This window comes from Homo sapiens, chromosome 2 (genome assembly GCF_000001405.40).
Source record: "Homo sapiens chromosome 2, GRCh38.p14 Primary Assembly".
Lineage (NCBI taxonomy): Eukaryota > Metazoa > Chordata > Mammalia > Primates > Hominidae > Homo > Homo sapiens.
The window spans coordinates 18,589,696-18,609,836 of record NC_000002.12 but is presented as its reverse complement, the minus strand read 5'-3'; the positions used below and the strand labels follow the sequence as shown (position 1 = coordinate 18,609,836).

Here is a 20,141-nt window from a genome sequence, read left to right as displayed (position 1 = left end):
GCTGTCTACTTCTCCCAGACCAAAGCTATCTTTGAAGTGTTCACTCTTGGCCTGCTGTCCATACTAAAAAATTCGCCTGTAGAGAGGAGGAAAAAGGCTTTTATCAGAAAATACTTTAAAAGCCTATACAGTGATTTTAAAATGACCTTTAGCAGGAACTGAGAGACTCTTTTCCTAGCAAGCTGGAATTTCATCTCACCCAAACCATACCTTTGTAAATAAGATCAAAGTAAGACGTAGAGGACCACACAATTCATATTTACCAAAACTTGTATGACCCATGCTAATTAACAATCCCAGCTGCACAACCTCATTACACACCATCCAAACTGCCAAGATGAAAGGTCAAAGACTGCAAGATCTACACAACAAAAGCTGTAATGCCTTAAGGCAATGCTGGCAGTACCCAAAATTTCACTCTCCTCATGGTATTTGGTCTCTAAATGCCAGTCCTTCTAGCTAGTCTTCTAAATGCCAGTCCTTCTAACTATTCTTGGACAGTGAGCTTGTATTGCCGGTTTTACCTTGAGATAATTTGAGTTTGGAACTAGTTAAGAATTAAACATGAATGTCAGAAAGGTAAAGACCAGATATCAGATGTATTACTTAAAATCACTAGATAGGAGGGTATAAATTAAATGAAGTCACAATGAGCTCCTTAATATTGTCTTCAATTTTCAACATACTCATTAGCAGAATGAACAACTGCAGGCATGCCCAGCCAGGCAGAGTCTACCCTGGTAAGCTAACCACATGGCAAAAGTGCCTTCTGATGGATAGTTAGATCTGAAAGAAACAGAATTTAGAAGGAATTAACTCATACTTCCTGCTTTCAATCTTATCCATCAGATAAGTCAGATCTATCCCAAGGGGAAGAAGTGAGTAGAGGCAGGGAGGGCAAAAAAGACTAGCGGGGGGTCCCTGTGGCCAGAAGACGGAAACATAAAGCATAGAGTACATAGGCTTCCACAAGACTGGCAACAAGCAGCTCATGTCTTAAAGATACTTTGATCTTTCGATCAGGTAACTGCGCTTCCAGAAATAAATCCAAAGAAAATACCCAGTGATTCAAACAATTATGTACCAATATCCTCATTTTAACATTAGAACAGGAAAATACAAAACAAAACAAAAAGGAAAAAGAATATTATATCTTTATTAAAATGTTTCATAAATGCTTTTAATGAAATAAAATGGATACATGTTGTCATGATAAATTTCTAAAGGCAATAAAATTACATTATGACATAATCCCAACCTATTTTTAAAAGTTTTTCCACAAAAAAAACAGATAAAAAACATTATAGGCTTATTTTTAAAATATTATTATGTATTTTCTAAATGTTCTATAAAAAACATATATCATTTATATAATCAGGAAATAGTTTTATTTATCAAATTCCCCAGCTTACCCAATCTACTATGTTTATTATGTATATTAGTTTAATAAAATAAAGAATTTCATATTTAGGCATCAGTCTTCAATCATGCATTAAATAAAAACAAATGTTCTAAACATGTATAGCAAATTACCATATAGATAACAAATATCTATGTCTATATGAATATTCTCATTTTTCCACAATATAAAAGATAAAATACATATTTTTATTCTATTGATGCAATTCTCCTAAAAAAGAGGACAAATAACTAATATATCTATTGATTTCAGTGAACGTAATTAGTAATCAAATTATTGCCTTTGAACAACACAGCAATATCAACTTTTAATTATTCATGATTAGGGTTGCCAGATAAAATAAAGTATGTCCAATCACATTTGAATTTCAGATAATCAATATTTTTAAAATTATAAATGTGTCCTTTGCAATTTTTTAGAAGATCTATGTAATATTTGGAACATATTTGTACTAAGAAATTATCCATTTTTTATCTGAAGTACCAAATTTAACTGGCTATCATGTATTTTTATTTACTCAATCTAGCAACCCTATTCGTGATGTCATTTTTAAAAGCCACATTCTCTGCTCTGAATATCCATCACTCTAGTTCCAGCAGGGGCTAGAACAACTGAATTTACCAGAAACCAGTTCATCAAGCTAAGACTAGAGCTTTCTAATTCAGAGGGAAACACTCCCAGGGAGGACACTTAAAGAGATGCCAGGCTTGTAAAATTAGCTGTATATGCTCCATGTTAATTGCCTTTGCAGGCCTCTTCCTGTCCCTATCCTTGTTGCACAGTCCCAAATAAAACAAGAGCAGCAGGGAATCTAAGCGCCCTCATTTCCAAAGCAATCCTAATGAAATATGTGGGAGCCCAGAAATCCTCTCCCACTCTGAGAGCAGACCCAGCTGTATGGCTGCACAGTGAATAAAATGGAAAAGAGTTGAAGAGACTCTAGGAATATGACTTTCCAGCAAAAGGAAACCAGCAGAAACAAGATCTTTAGATAGAGACATTCTTTGCAGTGAGAAATAAGGAAAATAGGAGGTGAGTGGCATCCAGGAGGTAGCCAGATTATGCAGAAGGTGGCAAGCCCATTTTCACTCCAAGTATGAGGATCATTCATTGAAGGGCTGAGGGATGAGAAATGACATAGCATCATTTATATTTTACAAGGATCACTCTGGTTGCTACACGAGGAAGAGAATAAGTGATGGAGAGCAAGCTGAATTAAGAATTAGTGAGAGCATATAGGGTAGTTATTACATTAAGCTTAACTAAGAGATAATGGTGGACTAAAGTAAGAAAATAGCAATAGAGAAAAGACAGTATTGGTGGGATTCTGGATATATTCCAAAAGTAGAGTTGACATAACTAGTGGATGAATTTATGTGAAAGAAATCAGGTGGGGAGGCTGACTTCAAGGTTTTTGACTTGACAGACTGGGTGAATAGAAGTGTCACTTACTGAAATAAGGAATATTGGAGAAGATGCTGATTTGGAGGTAGAGATGGTGCTAGATATCAAAAAAAGTCTATTTTCAGTTTGTTCAATTGGGGATGCCAATTCAACATTCATGTGTAAATATTGTATAGGAAGTTGGGTTTCTGAGTCTGGAGTTAAAGAGCGAGTTCGGGTCTGAAGAAGTATCGATGACATTTAGAGCCAGTGCCATATATGCACACAAGGAATGACTATAGAAAGAGAGAAGTTGGTGGACAGATTATTGCATCTTTCAAAGCCACAGATGAGGTAGAGGGTTATGGATAGAAGATGCAACAAGAACAGCCAGTGATTTAGGGGGGAACCAAGAGCAAGTGGCCAGCAAGCCAAGCAAAGAAAAGTGACTCAAAGAAGAAGTGAACATCTGTGTCAAATGCTGCTATTAGGTAGAATAAGATGGGGGCCAAGGTTGACCAAAACTGTCCCAGTAGAAATGTCCCCTCTTAAAGTCTGAAGATATTTCAACAAACCTCTTCTGAGTTGTACTATGTGTCAAGCACCACACTAGGAACCAAGGACAGAGATCAGTGAGACATATCTCACTATAAAACTCCAGCAAGGTGGTTTCATAGTCTAGCAGAAAAACTGACAAGTAAATAGGAGCATGCTTGGCTCCTGCTGTTCAGTCACAAAAAGAGCTTAAGAGTCAAACTGATTAATTATACATCAAGTTCACCCTGCAACTGTCCTGCTTGCACAAAGTGAGGATGAGCACCATTGTCCAACAGTCTGAAATCAATGCCAATTAAATGCAAAACAAAAATAGGAATCATTCTCTCTGCATTCTAATTTTTGCAATTTAAATAGCCTTTACTTTCAAAAACTATTTGTGTATATACACACATACATACGTAAACACAAATATATGTATATGTTGCATTTCTTTGCAAAGCCGATGATACCCTTTTGTGTGTTTCTCATATTTTCTTTTAGCCCCATCTTTTGTAATACCATACCTCTATCACTTGCCTTAAGAGCCTGCGGAAAGCTTGTTTCCAGTCCTCTTCACCCAGTCCGGCCTCTCTGTTGAAATTTTCTTATCTATCTAGACTGATTGTCTCCAAACATACTGTAGCTGGAAGTTTCCATTTAACTAACTCTATAGTATACCCTAAGAAGCAGAGATCTGAAATAAATAACTCTTAGCCACTAAGAATAAGCTTCATTCTTTTTGCTTGTGTTTTTCACTGATACTGGCAAAAAAGGGCATTTTTTCCATAAAGAACAATGCTTGGAAGATCTTCAAGAAATTGAAAAGCTGTGTTTCCAACAGCAGGATTCTTGTAATGACAATTTGTAGATCAAGTCTGTTCTGCAAGAGGCTAAAAGTCTGGGCTTTCCACTGACATAGATGTCCACCTCCCTGTATTCTCCTTCCTTCATGTGAGTGCGAGGTGGAAAAGAATGTTTATCTTGGTGATCACTCTGTGCTCTAAGAGGGAAGCAACTAAACTAAGATGGTGCTGTCAAGCTACTTTCTCTTCAGAGAAATCAAAGAACTGTGCTTAAGGGGCAGGTAGTCATTTTAAGATGCATATGGTTTTGCATCTTAAAAGGACTACCTGCCTCTTAAGCACAGTACTGGGGAAGGATGTGGTCCAGAGTCAGAAACTGCAGTTGAGTCCCAGGGCTGCTACTTACTAGAATTACTCAAAGGAACCTTGGGCAAGGGTAGTGTGAATGACAGCTTCCTCATCTATAAAATTAAACCCTACCTACCTCTTAGGGCTATTGTAGGAGGATATAAATGAGATAATGTGAGTGAAATATTGCACAAACCATGTTGACCCCAATAAAAGCAAGCATTTACCACTGTGAGCTCCAGCTACAGAAAGTCAGTCTCAAGGGATCTTTCTCAAAGCATGGGCAAGAAATTATGATTTAAAAGTAATGTTTTTTCATATAAACATCTTTAGTGATATATATTTGCACCAAACAGATATGTGACTCTGAAAAAAAAATAGGACCTGGTATATTCAGTTTGTTTATTTTATACCACTCGTAAGGAATAGCAGAGTTCCTCTCCCCATAAAAGCTCTTTCTAATCAATAATACATTTAACCTCAACTTTAAAGAACGATTTAAATTAGCTTGTGATTCTCAAGTTCCTTCTTCCCGGAGAAGCTCTACAGAGTAACTTCCTAAATATTGCTTTTGTCTGGGCCAAATCAAACTGCAATGCCAGAAAGACACTACTGCACAGCTGCATTATATGACAGTGCCATCAAAACAAAATGGTGAAAACCAGAGCCATTTTTATTAATAACAGCAGAACCTAATTTCATTGGTTTTAATTTACCATTTTCATGTTTTACAATAACATTATCCAGATATAAATTGTTATGATGAGAAGCCATTCACTAGAGACCCCCCAAAAAAGTTATAACTCTGCTTTTTTAAAAAAAGACATTGCATATATCAGTGAAGGACACACTAATAAAGATTGGTCTGGAATATTTCTCTTTATGACAATTGACTTATCAGCAATAGTCACTGCAGCAGAGTTGGAAATTACATAATTGCCAGAAACTGTAGATATTTGACTTGGCAAGAACCCTAGGTTTATCTGATTTATTTTTGTAAGAATTGGGCCCCATGGATATTTAGAAATGTTTCATGAAAGAACAGTAGAATGTAAATGAAACAAGCAAAAATCCTCCTTTCAAAGGCTGCATTTAACTCCGTCGTCACTGTTGTGATAACACAAATAAACCAAAGACAAACCTTTGGTGATGGTGTTGGGCAAAAGCACTACTCTAAATTAAAACATTATGAGCTACTAACATCTGGACATTTTCTCCCTCTTCATAGTCATTCTCATCCATTTTCTGTGTGTTGTTTATCAGGGGGCAATGCAGAATGTGACACTGAGCCTCAGTACATATGCACAGTAACAAGGCCCACAAAACACACAGGGCCATATTCATGGGCTGGCATATCCTGACCTCTGTCTGCACTCTGTGAGGAGTCCGTCTATTGTTTACCAAGAGACAAGTGCTTTGCTAACCTCAAATTTTGTGCTCCTGCCTTTGTTTCTCCAGTGCCTGGCACAATGATTGATACAAAGTTCTCAATGAGCATTTTGCTATTGAATTAAAGCAAATGAAAAAGGTAGGCAGACTATGAAAAAATGAAATAACATAAAAGAAAGCAGTGAGGTAGAGTAATAAGAGACAGAACACAAAGACCTGGTTTCAAGTCCTAGTTCCAACATCAACTTGCTGCGTGACTTTAGATAACTTTTTCTTTCTAGGCCTCGGTTTCCTCATCTCATTTTACAAAAGTTCATCTTTTTTTTCTTTTTGAGACAGAGTCTCACTCTGTCACCCAGGTGGAGTGCAATGGCACGATCTCAGCTCACTGCAACCTCCGCCTCCCGGGTTCAAGCAATTCTCCTGCCTCAGCCTCCCAAGTAGCTGGGATTACAGGTGCCGGCCACCACGCCTGGCTAATTTTTTTGTATTTTTAGTAGAGATGGGGTTTCACCACATTGGCCAGGCTGGTCTTGAACTCCTGACCTCAGGTGATCTGCCTGCCTCGGCCTCCCAAAGTCCTGAGATTACAGGCATGAGTCACCATGCCCAGCCAAGTTCATTTTTCTTGATAGTATCTGAAATATTATCTATTCAATTAGCCCATATAAAGTCTGTTGTCCCCCCAGAAATGTCACACTTCCTCCCCAATACAATAAACTACATTTATATTCACCATTGCATTTACTTGATAAGTTCACTCATTTTGGTGATGTCCCTCTAGAGAATGTCACCTATTAGCTAACTTTTTGGCTGTGTTACCTCACAGCTCTGACATCATCTTATTTCTGATGTGCACCATCACATAGCAAAATGAAATTTAAGTTTTAAAGTTAAACTAGCCAGAGTTTGGATTCTAGTTCCATAATTTTCTCAGAAAGTTATTTAGCTTTTCTGAAATGTGCATCTGAAAATGAGATTACTATTTCCTTCATCACTGAGTTGTTGTAAGGCTTAAATAAGATAAATACATAATGTAGCCATCTAGCACCTAGCAGGTTCTCAATATATGTCATAGCTTATAATCTATCTGTTGCCACACAGATCCTATTGCAGAAATGCATGTATATTCCCCTTCGTTCCTATCTCACAGCTTCCCAGCCTGAGATCAGGCTTTAAAATGAGTGAGTTAAACAGATGCTAGAGACAGAGAAGGTCATTCATTTCATCAGTTAGTCACCCATCCTTCATTCCTTCAAAAACATTTATTGAGGCCTGTGATAAAGTATCAAAGTAAAAAGTACAATTAAGGGTTTCATGATGTCACAGGAGAGCCAGACATATAAAATGACAACTGAAATGTGGTGGAATATGTTTGAAAATAGAGGAACACACATGATGTTATTGGAGGAGCATCCAAACCTGTTAACAGCTGCCAATAGCTTGGCAGCTATTTCAAAACTCTCTTGTCTGCATTAATGAAAGAGCTGCGGCAATACCCAGATCTCCCTCTTGAGGCTATCTTTTAAAGCAAGATAAAAATTTAATAAAACATTGACTTCCTTCATAGAAATATATGAGCGGGATTTTAATTGAATAATTATTTCAGACACCTATGTATATACAAGAACTACATTAAAAAGTTCTTTTAATGAAAATATATAGAACTTGTAGGCTTTTCATTACCATAAAAATGTTCTTGAACACAAATATTTCAGATAGCCACAAGATCTTCACAGTATATTCAAAGTAAATGCAAACACAGAAAAGTTGGGTTGGAATTGAAGGTACCAATATAAACCCATAGTATTTAATGTCATAGACAGGCAGGTAGATAAAGAGGTATGGGAATAAGTGTGTGTGTGTGTGTGTGTGTGTGTGTGTGTGTATGTGTGTGTGTAAACCAGAGTTCCATCCACTGACAGGGCCTAGAAGCAAAAAGAACACTTAACACCTACATATCGACTTCTAAATACTATTGTTCACCAAAAAAACTAGAGCTGTGAAGAAATGGCTAATTCGAGGATGTGAGAGAAAAAGTACAAGACAAGTTTGGAAAATTTTGTTATTCTAGAAAGTAAAAAAGTGCTGAAAGAAACATGGGGACATTTCAAAAGCAAGGGAACCCACTTGACAGGGTCTCCAATGGCCAAATCTGGGACAATTTGAGCATCTGCATAAATCACAAACTATACCTACTGAATAAATAAGAACCTATGAGTCCATACTTACAGAAATGAGTAAATGTGAGAGAATAGGAAGTACTTTACTGAAATAGAATACCATCTAATTAACATAAAAGGAATAATGGAGCTAGGAAATCATCAATGGAAGCTAAAACTACTGATGAAAGTTTGGTCAGGATTTACACATTTCATCACAATTGCATATTACTTACACAGGGACAATTAGTAACTGAGAAACTTGGAGGGCACAAATTCAACCAAGTCACCAAATAATATTAGGACAACTTGACATTACCATCCGGAACGACACAACATCACTTCAGTGGCATTCCTGCCCCAAATCCATAACCTGAATCCAATAATAAGGAATTGTCAGAAAACCCCAAAGGAGGGACATACTACATAATATTTTGCTTATAATTTCCAAAAAGTCAAGGTCGGCTGGACACGGTGGCTCATACCTATAATTTCAGCACTTTGGGAGGCCGAGGTGGGCTGATCGGCTAAGCTCAGGAGTTCGAGAAAACATGGTGAAAATCCTCATCTTTACAAAAAATACAAAAATTAGCTGGACGTGGTGGCACATGCCTGTAGTCTCAGCTACTCGGGAGGCTGAGGTGGGAGGATCACCTGTGCCTGAAAGGTCAAGGCTGCAGTGAGCCATGATTGTGCCACTGCACTCCAGCATGGGCTACAGAGCGAGACTCTGTCTCAAAAAAAGAAAAAAAAAATCAAGGCTGAAGAAATATACCAGTGATAGAAGACTAAAGAGATGAAAACTAAATGCAACGTGTGATTCTGGATTTGATCCTAAACAGGGAAAATAATAACTTTAAAGAACCTTATATTGAAGCAGTTACCAAATGTGAATATAGACCATAGATTTGAGAATAATATTACATCAATGTTAATTTTCAAGTTTGTGATAGCTACACTATGGTTATGTAAGAGAGCATCCTTGTTTAATAAATGCACACTGAACTATTTATGAATAAAAGGGCACATTGACTACAATTTGTTCACAAACTAGAAAAAACATCTATGTAAGAGGAAGAAAGAAAAAAAGAGACAGAGAAATTGAGTGGAATAAAATATAAACAATTGGCAAATCTGAGTTAAACAAATCTAAGAATTCCTTTTTATAATTTAATTTCAAATTATCCTAAAATTCAACCCTGTATTATTTATTTATTAAATGAACATAATTCCTGTTGTCAGTTAATGGTCTAGTAGAGAGAAAGATATTTAAACAAACACATGAAACATCTTATCAGTAGAGATTTTTACTCTCAGCACAGTTGTGGCCTGAAATAAGAAGTGATTACCTCCGTTTGGGGAAGTCAGTGCACCTGGTGTTGAAGTTTGTATCAGAAGCGAGAAGGGCAGGAACTAGACAGTGAGCAGGATGAGGGTGCAGATACAAGAAACATTACAGAAGATAAATCAGCAAAACTCAGTGACCAAATGAACAGTTTCATGGTGGAGCCAGGAGAGGCTTTGCATGCCTCTCCAGTCCTGCTCAGGTAACAGAGCTCACTGGAATAAGAAACAGAGGACAAAGAAAAAATTTTGGAGGTAGATAATAAGTCCAGTTTTGGACATGTCAAGTTGTAGGTATTCCTGGGTCATCAGGGCAGCACTCATACCTATATTTACTTAGAATATCCTCTGCCAAGCTCTAAAGGGGACTAATCAATTACTGAATGTGTTTTGGCTGAAAGTTGGAAAAATTCAAATAGGCATAGTCTCATTAGAGCCCAGGGTTGATGGAGATAGATAGGATTGGGAGTCTCATTTTATGGTCCTAGAAAGTGCCTCCTCAAACCCTTGTCTACCCTATGACACAGAAAGTCTTTCTAATTGGGAACACATGATTTTTTACTCATTCTTTTATTCATTCAGGAAACATTTTGTTGAAACACTGTATTAAACACTGGGGATGCAGAGATGAATAATGCATAGGCTCTGTCCTTGAAAGGCGTTCACAGATTAGTGGAAAAGAAAAACATAAGAACAAGTAATTATAACTTGGCAGGCCTGGGGCTTAGGACAGAGAATGCACAGGGTGCCAAGGAAGGGCCCATGGTAAGACGCTAGACATGCAATGCAGCTGTGTGTCTGATTTTTACTGGTATTAAGGAAGTCAAGCCAAAAGATGCTAGAGAGAAACAGGATGTGACAGGGAGGAAAATGCAGCAATCTGTGATTAATTTGGGATCTTTCCTGAACTAGTGATTGGGAGGATGGTGGTCCTGGCCACAGAAACAGAAACATAGGAGTAAAAGCAAGCTTTTTAAAATTTTACTGGACAGGAAGAAGTGGGAAGCCAAAGGAACTAAGTGGAAAAGAAAACAAAGGTCATCGATGCCAAAGCCAAACGTTAAAAAACTGAAAAATGTCACTAGAGTGAATTCTATCCGTTTTCATCACCAAAAATACAGAATCCAAGCTGGTCCAGACTTGGGACTCTACTCTGAGCTGTGCTGCACTGAGGACATTGCTGACCTACATTTTGCAACAATATCGGGGTTTGGGGGACCTCTAGGAACAAGCTGCTCACTCCTCAAATATAATAGCAAACACACATATTTTCTCACCACTGATGGGGCTTTTGCCAGGAAATCACACAGACCCAAAATAAAAAACAGGCCAAAGGAAAACAAACAGACAAGACACACAGTCTGTCACCCATGGGGCACTGGGGTTCAGGGCAGGGCCCTCCCTAGGTGGTCACAGGGTCCAGATAAAACCCTACCCAGAGTGCCTGAAATATGTTTATGCAGGTGAACCGGGAGGCAGGGAACCTGGGAAGACGATGGTTACTGAGTGCCTGTCCTATGCCAGGCATTGTGCTTGATCCTTCACATTCCTCATTTCCTTTCTCTCTATGAAGTCACTATTATTATCATTCCTATTTTACAAATGAGGAAATGGGCTGTGAGGCTAAGCAACTCTCAGAGACACATAGGAAGTGGCAGCACTAATATGAAAAGCCACATCTGCAGAGTATGAAGATGTTTCTTTTCTTGGCAACATGTTGCCTGTCTCAAGGAGGTGAGCATGCCACTTGGGAGCTCCTGGTGCCTGAAAGCTCCTACAAGGACCACCCCCACACAAGAAATCCCTTGGTAACAATGCAGGCAAGGTGTGATTAACTGTGTGTACGTGCAGATGCCTTGAGCCTATTTGTTTGATTATTTTTCTTTCTTAAAAGCTACCTAATAGAGAAAGTCTCCTCATCCCCTCAGTCCCTTTCAGATCATAGGTTCTCCTAGCAAACTGATAAACTCCTGAAGAACCTAGGCCAGAAGTTATTTTCCTGCGTTGTTCTACTTAAGGCCTGGCCCTGGACAGCAGAAGCATTAGGACATCATACAGAACCAGTCAACACAAAGACAGCTTCTGTGAGATCCAAGACATGATCGCCTAAACACACCACGATTCCAGGTGCAGCAGCTTAAGTGCCTATGTAAGTCCTACTTAGCACCTGTTCATCTGGCTGGCGTGGAGCAGGAAACTGGATTATTTTCCCACTTTTGGATGAGGCATAGCACACTGATTAATGATGTGAGGGAGAATGAACCAAAGACAGGAGTTCTGCACACAAATGTCTTTCAGGAAAGCTATCACAGGCATGGGGAAAGAAAGGTGAGCATTGTAAGGAGGGGGTGGCAGACAGCATTTGGTTGATTAGGGTTTGGTTAATGCTGGTGAGTGTCGAACATTCCAATTCATGGCTATTACTAATGGGAGAAAGGGGTTATTTGTTAATTTTACTTACTAAAGTGAGTGTTGAAGGCAGGATGGAGGGGAAAAGGTGAACATGCACCATTTTGGCTAAGCCTAATAAAACGTGGAAAAAATTCCTCATGATTTTCTTAAAAAGAGGAAGACATCGATTGTGCACTGGCACCAAGCTCCCTTACCTTTATGAGGAAGTGGTCATCAATTTCCACTTAGCCTGCCCAGTTTTCAAGTCCTTTGGCCATCTTCCAAGTGACCTATTTCTTCGTTCATCATGCAGATTTTTGGTGGGATGTGTTATAAAGAACTTCCTGTGAACTTCCTAAGTGCTTTTCTTTGCATGACCACATTCGCGTTTCACAAAAAAATTGTAAGATGTGCATAGGCATTTAATTCCTATTTTACAGATGAGAAGATTGAACTTCAGAGCCCTAATCTATGCAAGTAAGTGGAACTTTTATTTTTCAAGACCTTATATTTTATAGAGCATCTTTACATTTGAGACTACCTTCCCCAGGATATTTTTAAAAATTCTTTTCTTAAAGTACAAGTGCTTTTTACTTTTTAAAAATTTTTTCCCAATCCATCAAAGGCGTTCTATCTAGTGTCCATGGACAGAGTTCTCTGGTGCTCTGACTCCATAGTGACCCTTGAATCATGTGGATGGTCAAGATGGACTGATTCAAGAACTATGAACTTCAAAGAAAACTTTTTTATTCGCTGATGACTTCTGAGAGACATGCTCACCTCTCTGGATAAGGTTCCCGGAACTTGTATTTTTCAGCTTTGACCTACATGAATGGAATGTTGATGTAACTGCCATCTGGGAAGAGGCCAGTAGATACACACTGACCTCTAGTCGATATTTTGGACAAGGGATTTTCACTTACCAGCATTTGGCAAGAGTATTCTGCATATGCACCATGAGCAGGGCCAAGCTCATGAGAAGCTGCTCCTTTATCATGATCTGAGACCTGTAGAGACTTTTAGAGTGATAGGGTTTGGCTGTGTCCCCATCCAAATTTCATGTTGAACTGTAGCTCCCACAATTCCCACGTCTTGTGGGAGGGACCCGGTGGGAGATAACTGAATCATGGAGGTGGTTTCCACATACTGTTCTCCTGGTAATGAATAAGTCTCACAAGATGTGATAGTTTTATAAAGCGCTTCCCCTTTCACTTGGCTTTCATTCTCTCTTGCCTGCCACCATGTAAGAAGTGCCTTTTGCCTTCTGCCATGATTGTGAGGCCTCCCCAGCCACATGGAACAGTGAGTCCATTAAGCCTCTTTTTCTTTGTAAATTGCCCAGTCTTGGGACTGTCTCATCAGCAGCATGAAAATAGGCTAATACATAGAGATACAGTCTCATTGGATGAAGCTCATACTTAGAAACTATAATGACTTTACTTATCCAATTTTTTGACTATCCAATTAATTACATAGGATTCCAGATTGGCCTATTGTTAAGATAGGTATAAAAGACCAGGCCACTGTAGAAGAGAAAGTATGATTAAACAACTGTCACTTCACAACTTCAGGCAAGTTGTTTCACTCTACACTGCTTGGTGATTAAAAAGTACTAAACAGTATAAAATGCAATGTGTCTAGCATGTACTCAAAAGTATTATTTCTTATTGTCCTTATTTTCTTAACATGAAGATTTCAAGCCACCCCATGGAAGCAGCATTCCAAGAAGATAGCCTTGGAAAGCACTGCAAGCCTTGGGAGCCCTGGGCTCAAGGACTCACATAATGTTATTTTCTCTGCATTATATTAGTTAAAGCATATCACAAGACAGAGCCAAATTCAAAAGATGGGAAATAGAATCCAGCTCCCAATGGGAACAGCTTCAAATTATTGTTCATGACTCAACTCACCATAGACCCTAACCACAAACCAGTACTTTGGGTCAAGCACATTATATGTGCTACCCATTTATTTCTTCCTAAAAACCCTCCAACTAGGTATAACACCCATTTCATAGACATAAAATAAAAAGATTTATTGAAGTTAAGTAACTAGCCTGATGTTAAGCAAGTGATCAGTAACAGAGTTGGTTTTAAAACTCAAATTTATTTGACCCCAAAACCAATACTGTTACTTTAGTATATGTAGAGACCAACCATGAAATACACTTCCATTTCTACAGAAAAGAACTAAGAAAGATATACCACTTTATCCTTGTGCTTACTTTTAGGACTATCCCAATGAAGACATCTTGAGTTTGTAAACTTTCTCTGAGGTGTCCATGTGCTCCTACATCTGTTCCATGCCCACATCAACAATCACAGACCTCAGAAAGGTGCAGGAGAAAGTACATAACTCCTCCAAAAATATCCACACACGCACATCCAGGGGACTTAGTGACAGGCTCTAACACATCCATACATGTTACATTTCCTAGTCTATACTTTTAAAAACAGAATATATCTTCAAATCAAGTGCCCATACTAGCCCCAGATAGTCCATATGCACTGAAACAGATAATGGTGGTCACCAATTTGCAAGCCTGGGTTTTATTTATTTAGTTCCCTATTTTGAGGATTCACTTAGGCAAAGTCAATTAAATGAGTGTGGAGGACAAAATTCTAAGATGATCCCTCCAAAGACCCTCACCTTTGTATAATTCCCTGCCCTGGGAATATGATGGGGCATCACTCCCATGATTATGTTATACATGGCAAGAAAGATTTTGTAGATATAATTGAGCTTACTCATTAGTTGGTTTTGAGTTAATAAAAAAGAGATTATCCCAGTGGGCATAACCTAATTATCTGAGCCCTTTAAAAGGAATTTTTTTCTGACGGATAGGATTCAGCACAAGGAAGATTCTCCACTAATGGGATGGAGGGGGCCATAGAGCAAGGGCCTGAGAGTGGCCTCTAGGAGCTGAGGGTGATTCCCTGGTTGACATCCAGCAACTTGGACTTCCGTCCTACAACTAGAAGAAACTGAATTCTGCCAACAACCCAGATGAGACTGGAAGTAGATTCTTCCCCAGAGCCTCCAGGTAACAGCTCAACATGGCTGACACCTTGATTTTACCTTTAACAGATTCTAAGCAAAGAACCCAGGTGAGCTTCCCCAGACTTTTAACCTAACAGAACTGTGTGATAACAAATGCACATTATTTTAAGCCAGTAAGTTAGTAGTAATTTGTTACATGGCCATGCAAAATTAATACAGCAAGCTGATCTAAGTGACAGGTGGAGATGATAAGAAAATGTGACCCTTTCCCCTTCTCCACAGCCTTTCTGTGAGCCTCAGGAATTATGCACCTATGCTGACTAATGTTAGGCCTGATATTTCCAAAACTATCCACCCCGTGACCTAGACTGAGTCCAGTGCTAATCACGTTAAATTTTCTAAGACAGTCTTGATTTGAAATATCACATTAGCCCACATATTATTAAAATCTGAAAGTGTAGTTACTGCTGCCATGGAGTATCTAGTTATTGGTTATAGGATCACAGCAATGATTTTTTTCAAAATTTTATATTCATAATTCACTAAAATATAATGATAACACCTATCTATTATTGTCAGGCACCTTATTATACTGTTAATAACCCTCACAGCCTGTATGAGAAGTAGATGTAACTTTTCCAATTTTGATGGCAACAAAACTGAAGTCTGGATGGAGTAAGTGATCCAAACATACAGACTAGCTAAGGTAAGATTTAAACCTAGGTCAGTCCTGCTCCAAAGTTCAGAACTCTACTGGGTAGTGATGCATTGATCTGTAAAATGGGTTATGAAGAAAGTAAATTAATGATTACTCAGGGCTGGGCAGGGGATGGGAAGATAGGGGTTGTATCTAGAAGATACTGAATTTATTTTGGGGATGTTGAAAATATGCTACAATTCATCTGTGTTTATAGTTGCATGACTACAAATATTTTAAGAACCATTGAATTGTACACTTTAAATGGGTGACTCGTATGGTGTGTTGATTATATCTCAATAAACCAGGATTTTTTTAAGGCAGTGAAAGTGTTTTGTTGGGGAAATCTAGATATATGAGGCTTGCAAAGGAGGCAAGGAATGGGAGAAAGACTCGGTCATGGAGTCTTGGATATCATACTAATTTGTTTCTTGGGGGAAAAAAGGGTTCTCCAGAAAGGGTTTTAAATAAGGGAGTGAAAGAATCTATTAGTGTTTTAGAAAGATCTCTTTAGTGGCTATATAACGATGGATTTAAGAAGGACACAATAGTACAGTTGAGGAGATTGGTGAGGAGACTCTTGCATAGCTCACTGGAAAAGATGAAGACTTGGCAAAAGCTAATGGAATGCAAGGGTGCCTGGTGTTTGAGAGACACTGCTGAGAAAAAAGACATGCAACTTGTAAGAACCTCAGATAAGGGAGAGAAAGGAATGTAAGACTGGGGTTTCTACCTTGGGAGTTCAGCTTCTTGAGCAGGTGCTGCCTCCCCTTTGTGGAATCTGGGAAACTGGACCCAAGGCAATGTGGGGAGAGGGAGGAAAGAAGGTAGGTACCTTAGAAATTCTACTGAGAGCCTAGGGCTCAGCCCTCCAGTCAAACACAAATGATACTGATACCTGGGTCTTACATTCAGAGATTCTAATTAAACTTGTCTGTGATTGTGACCTGGAAAGATCCGAGGCACTGGGATTTTTAAAAGCTCTCAGGTAATTGTAATGTGCAGCCAAGGATGTGAACCTACAACTTGGACAGTTCCTTTCCAGCTGAGGCAGTCAGAAAAGGACACAGATGTTGCTGGTGAACTGCTTACAGTCCAACCAATCAGACAGGGCCCTATTGAAAAAAGGTGAGGCTTTGTCTTGAGCATTGGAGTCTGACAGGCCCATTCTAGAGACTGTTTCACTAATGATAGTCTTTACTACAAGAAATAATATTTAAGATGGTAGAGGATTATTTGATGTTGTTCACATGAAGTCGATGGACCAGCTAGAGCTTACCTGTGAGTATGAAGAATTCCTAATTATTCTGGCTTAGTGATTATCAAAGTGTGGTGCTCAGTCCAGCAGTATCAGCTTTATCTGGGAACATGTTACACATTTAGGTTTTGGGCCCTATCCAAGTCTACTGAATCAGAAATTCCGGGGGGAGAGGCCCAAAAATTTGTGTGTATGTGTTTTTTAAAAAATTCATTAAACTTTTTAAAATTTTTGAAATAATTGTAGATTCATAGGCAGTTGCAAAAAAAAAAATACAGAATGATCCCATTACCCTTTGCCCAATTTAGACATCCTACAAAACTATAGTACAATATCACAGCCCAGGTGTTGACACTGATACAACCAAATAAAAAATACAGACTTTCCGTCACCACAGAGATCTTTCATGTTGCCCTTTTCTAGTTACACCCACTTAACTTCACCCACCTCGTCATGCTGGCAACCACTGACCTGTTCTCCATTCTATAATTGTTGTCATTTCAAGAATGTTATACAAATGAAATCATATAGTATATAACTCTTGGGGACTGGCTCTTTTTTTACCCAGCATAATTCTCTGTGGAGTCATTCATATTATTGTGTGTATCAATAGTTTGTTTCTCTGCATTGCTGATTAGTGTTCCATGGTATGAATGTGCCACAGTTTAACCATTCTCCTGTTGCAAAGTCACTTTAACAACCTCTCAGAGTAATGCACTGATGCACTCTCAGGCTTGAGAACCCCTGATCTCTAGAAAAAAAGCTTTAAAGGACAGGAAAGAAATACAGCACTCTTCTGGGTTTTCTTCCCATGCACTAACTTCATGGTCCTCCTCAAAGGCATAGGGAAATGACTTTTTAAAATTTCCACCATGGCCGGGTGCGGTGGCTCATGCCTGTAATCCCAGTACTTTGGAAGGCCAAGGCGGGTGGATCACCTGAGGTCAGAAGTTAGAGACCAGCCTGACCAACATGGTGAAACCCCATCTCTATCAGAAATACAAAAATTAGCCAGGCATGGTGGTACATGCCTGAAATCCCAGCTACTTGGGAGGCTGAGGCAGGAGAATCGCTTAAACCTGGGAAGTGGAGGTTGCAGTGAGCTGAGATCTTGCCATTGCACTCCAGCCTGAGTGACAGAGCAAGACTCTGTCTCAAAAAAAAAAAAAAATTCCACCACTACTGTTACCATAATATTCTGTATCCTGCTTATCACTGTTAAGTAAACGCATTTCTTAAAAGATTCATGTATTTATTCAACAAATATTTATGGAAGTACCTCCTAGTAACTATTCTAGGCAAGAAGAAAGCAGCAGTAGAAAAGATGTATAGGTCGCTTCTCACAAGCAGTTTTCGCTCCAGCGGGACCAGAAAAGACAATAAGCAAATAAACTCTTGTGAAACAAAGTCAGGTTGAAATAAATGTTATGATTGAAAATAAAGGGACATAAGGGTTAAAAGATGAAGGAAATGAGGTATCATTTTTAGTGACAGTCAGAGAAGTCCTCTCTGAGGAGACTGCTTGAGAGCAGAGTTAAAAAAATAAGGAATTAAGGCACGTGTATATATGGGCCGCTGCAGCAGATGGAGCAGCAAATTTAAAAGTCTTGCGACAAGAACATGCTTAACCCATTACATGGCTTGGATATTTGTCCCTTCCAAATCTTATGTTAAAAGATGACTCCCAATGTTGGAGGTGAGGCCTAGTGTGAGGTGTTTGGGTCATGAAGGTCAATCCCTAATGGATGGCTTTGTGCCTTCCCATGGTAATGAGTTACGAGGATATCTGACTGTTCAAAAGAATCTGGGACCTCCTCCCTTCTCTCTTGCTCCTGCTCTTGTCGTGTTACACATTTGCTCCTTCTTTGCCTTCTGTCATGATTGGGAAGCTTCCTGAGGCCTCGCCAGAAGCACATGCCAGCACTATGCTTCCTGTATAGTCTGCAGAACTGTGAGTCACATAAACCTCTGACTCAGGTCAGTTCATGCTTTTGCCTAGGCTTCCAGACTGTGGAGGAAGGGACTCCAGCCCACAGCCCTAGATTTGGGATGTCAGGCTTCCCTAAGTGAAGTCCTACCCATGAAACCTATAACAGAAGCCTCTGCTCTCTCCCTCGAAGGAGTGCTAAGAAGCCATAATGAGTTTATAATCCTGAATAGTAGAAATAAAACACCTAATTACAATGAGATGAAATTCACATTAGCTGCTCTGGCCCCAAACACAGCATACTAAGAAAATAAAGATGCTCTTGGTACTTAGGGGTGTGATTTTAATAGAAAAGGTAAGGTTCTCTGAAGTTACTCTGAAACGTATAGCACTTACAACTTTGATTGTCTACATAACTTATACAAATATTACACAATAACATCATAACCATGCAAAAACAAATGACCCCTGTACAAATTTTGGGTAGAATGCTGGGGGTTGGGTGTACAGTGGGGAGTAGGGGAGAGATGAAATAACTTAAACCCAGGCACTCTTACCTACAGCCTGAATGTTTTACTAACTAAAAGACTCCTTGGATAACTTAAATTAAAACCATCAACAACTTCCGATATTCAACCTTAGCTATCAACTTGTCCCATGAAAACAGGCTGGAAACCTGCCTCAGTCCTTGATGATTTCACCAGCTCAGGTTGGCATGGCACATGTCTCCTATCTAAAGCTTGGGTGAAGATAAAAGGAGAAAACTAAAATGGAGAACATGTTTAGATTCTGTAAACCAGAGTTAGGGGCTACTTTTTACAAATATCAATTCTATTTGTAACTGTATGTTTCCTGTTACTTGCCAAAATGAATCACAAACTCATTTGTGGACCCAATCATTTATCCATGTTCACTCTCCCAGACTTTGGGGGGCTTTCCTCAGATCTGGAAACTATTTTTGACAGCTGAGATTTTGTTCTAGACATGGAGTTTAGACTTGAGTTTGAGTTTAGCTTTAGTGTTTAAAGGGTTAAGGATGGGGCAGCCCAGGGTTAAGGGTTAAGGATGGGGCAGCAAAGGTAACATTCTACACTGAGTCTAGCCATGGGGAAGGGGCTTTGACAGTGTCTTCCTCAACAGGTTTTGCCATTGAAAGAAACATGAGACATTAAAGCTAAACTCAAACTCAAGTCTAAACTCCATGTCTGGAACAAAATCCCAGCTGTCAAAAATAGTCTCTAGATCTGAGAAAAGCCCTCCAAAGTCTGTCTGGCAGAATGAACATGGATAAATGATTGGATCCACAAATGACTTTGCCATTCATTTTGGCAGTACCAGGAAACAGACAGTCACAAATGGGATTAATATAATGAATGGCAGAGAAATGCTTAAAAAGATTTAAAAAGGAAGTGGTAATATTGATATTGCTACATATTGAACATTTGAACAATGTTTAGACATCAATTTCTGAAAACAAAGACA

General features: G+C 39.0%; 1 long non-coding RNA gene across 11 annotated transcripts in view; it reads right to left on the bottom strand.

Moving 5' to 3' along the window:
- The window catches only part of LOC105373456 (uncharacterized), a 529,181-nt gene that overhangs the window by 479,520 nt on the left and 29,520 nt on the right, over positions 1-20,141 (bottom strand). The window lies entirely within an intron of this gene.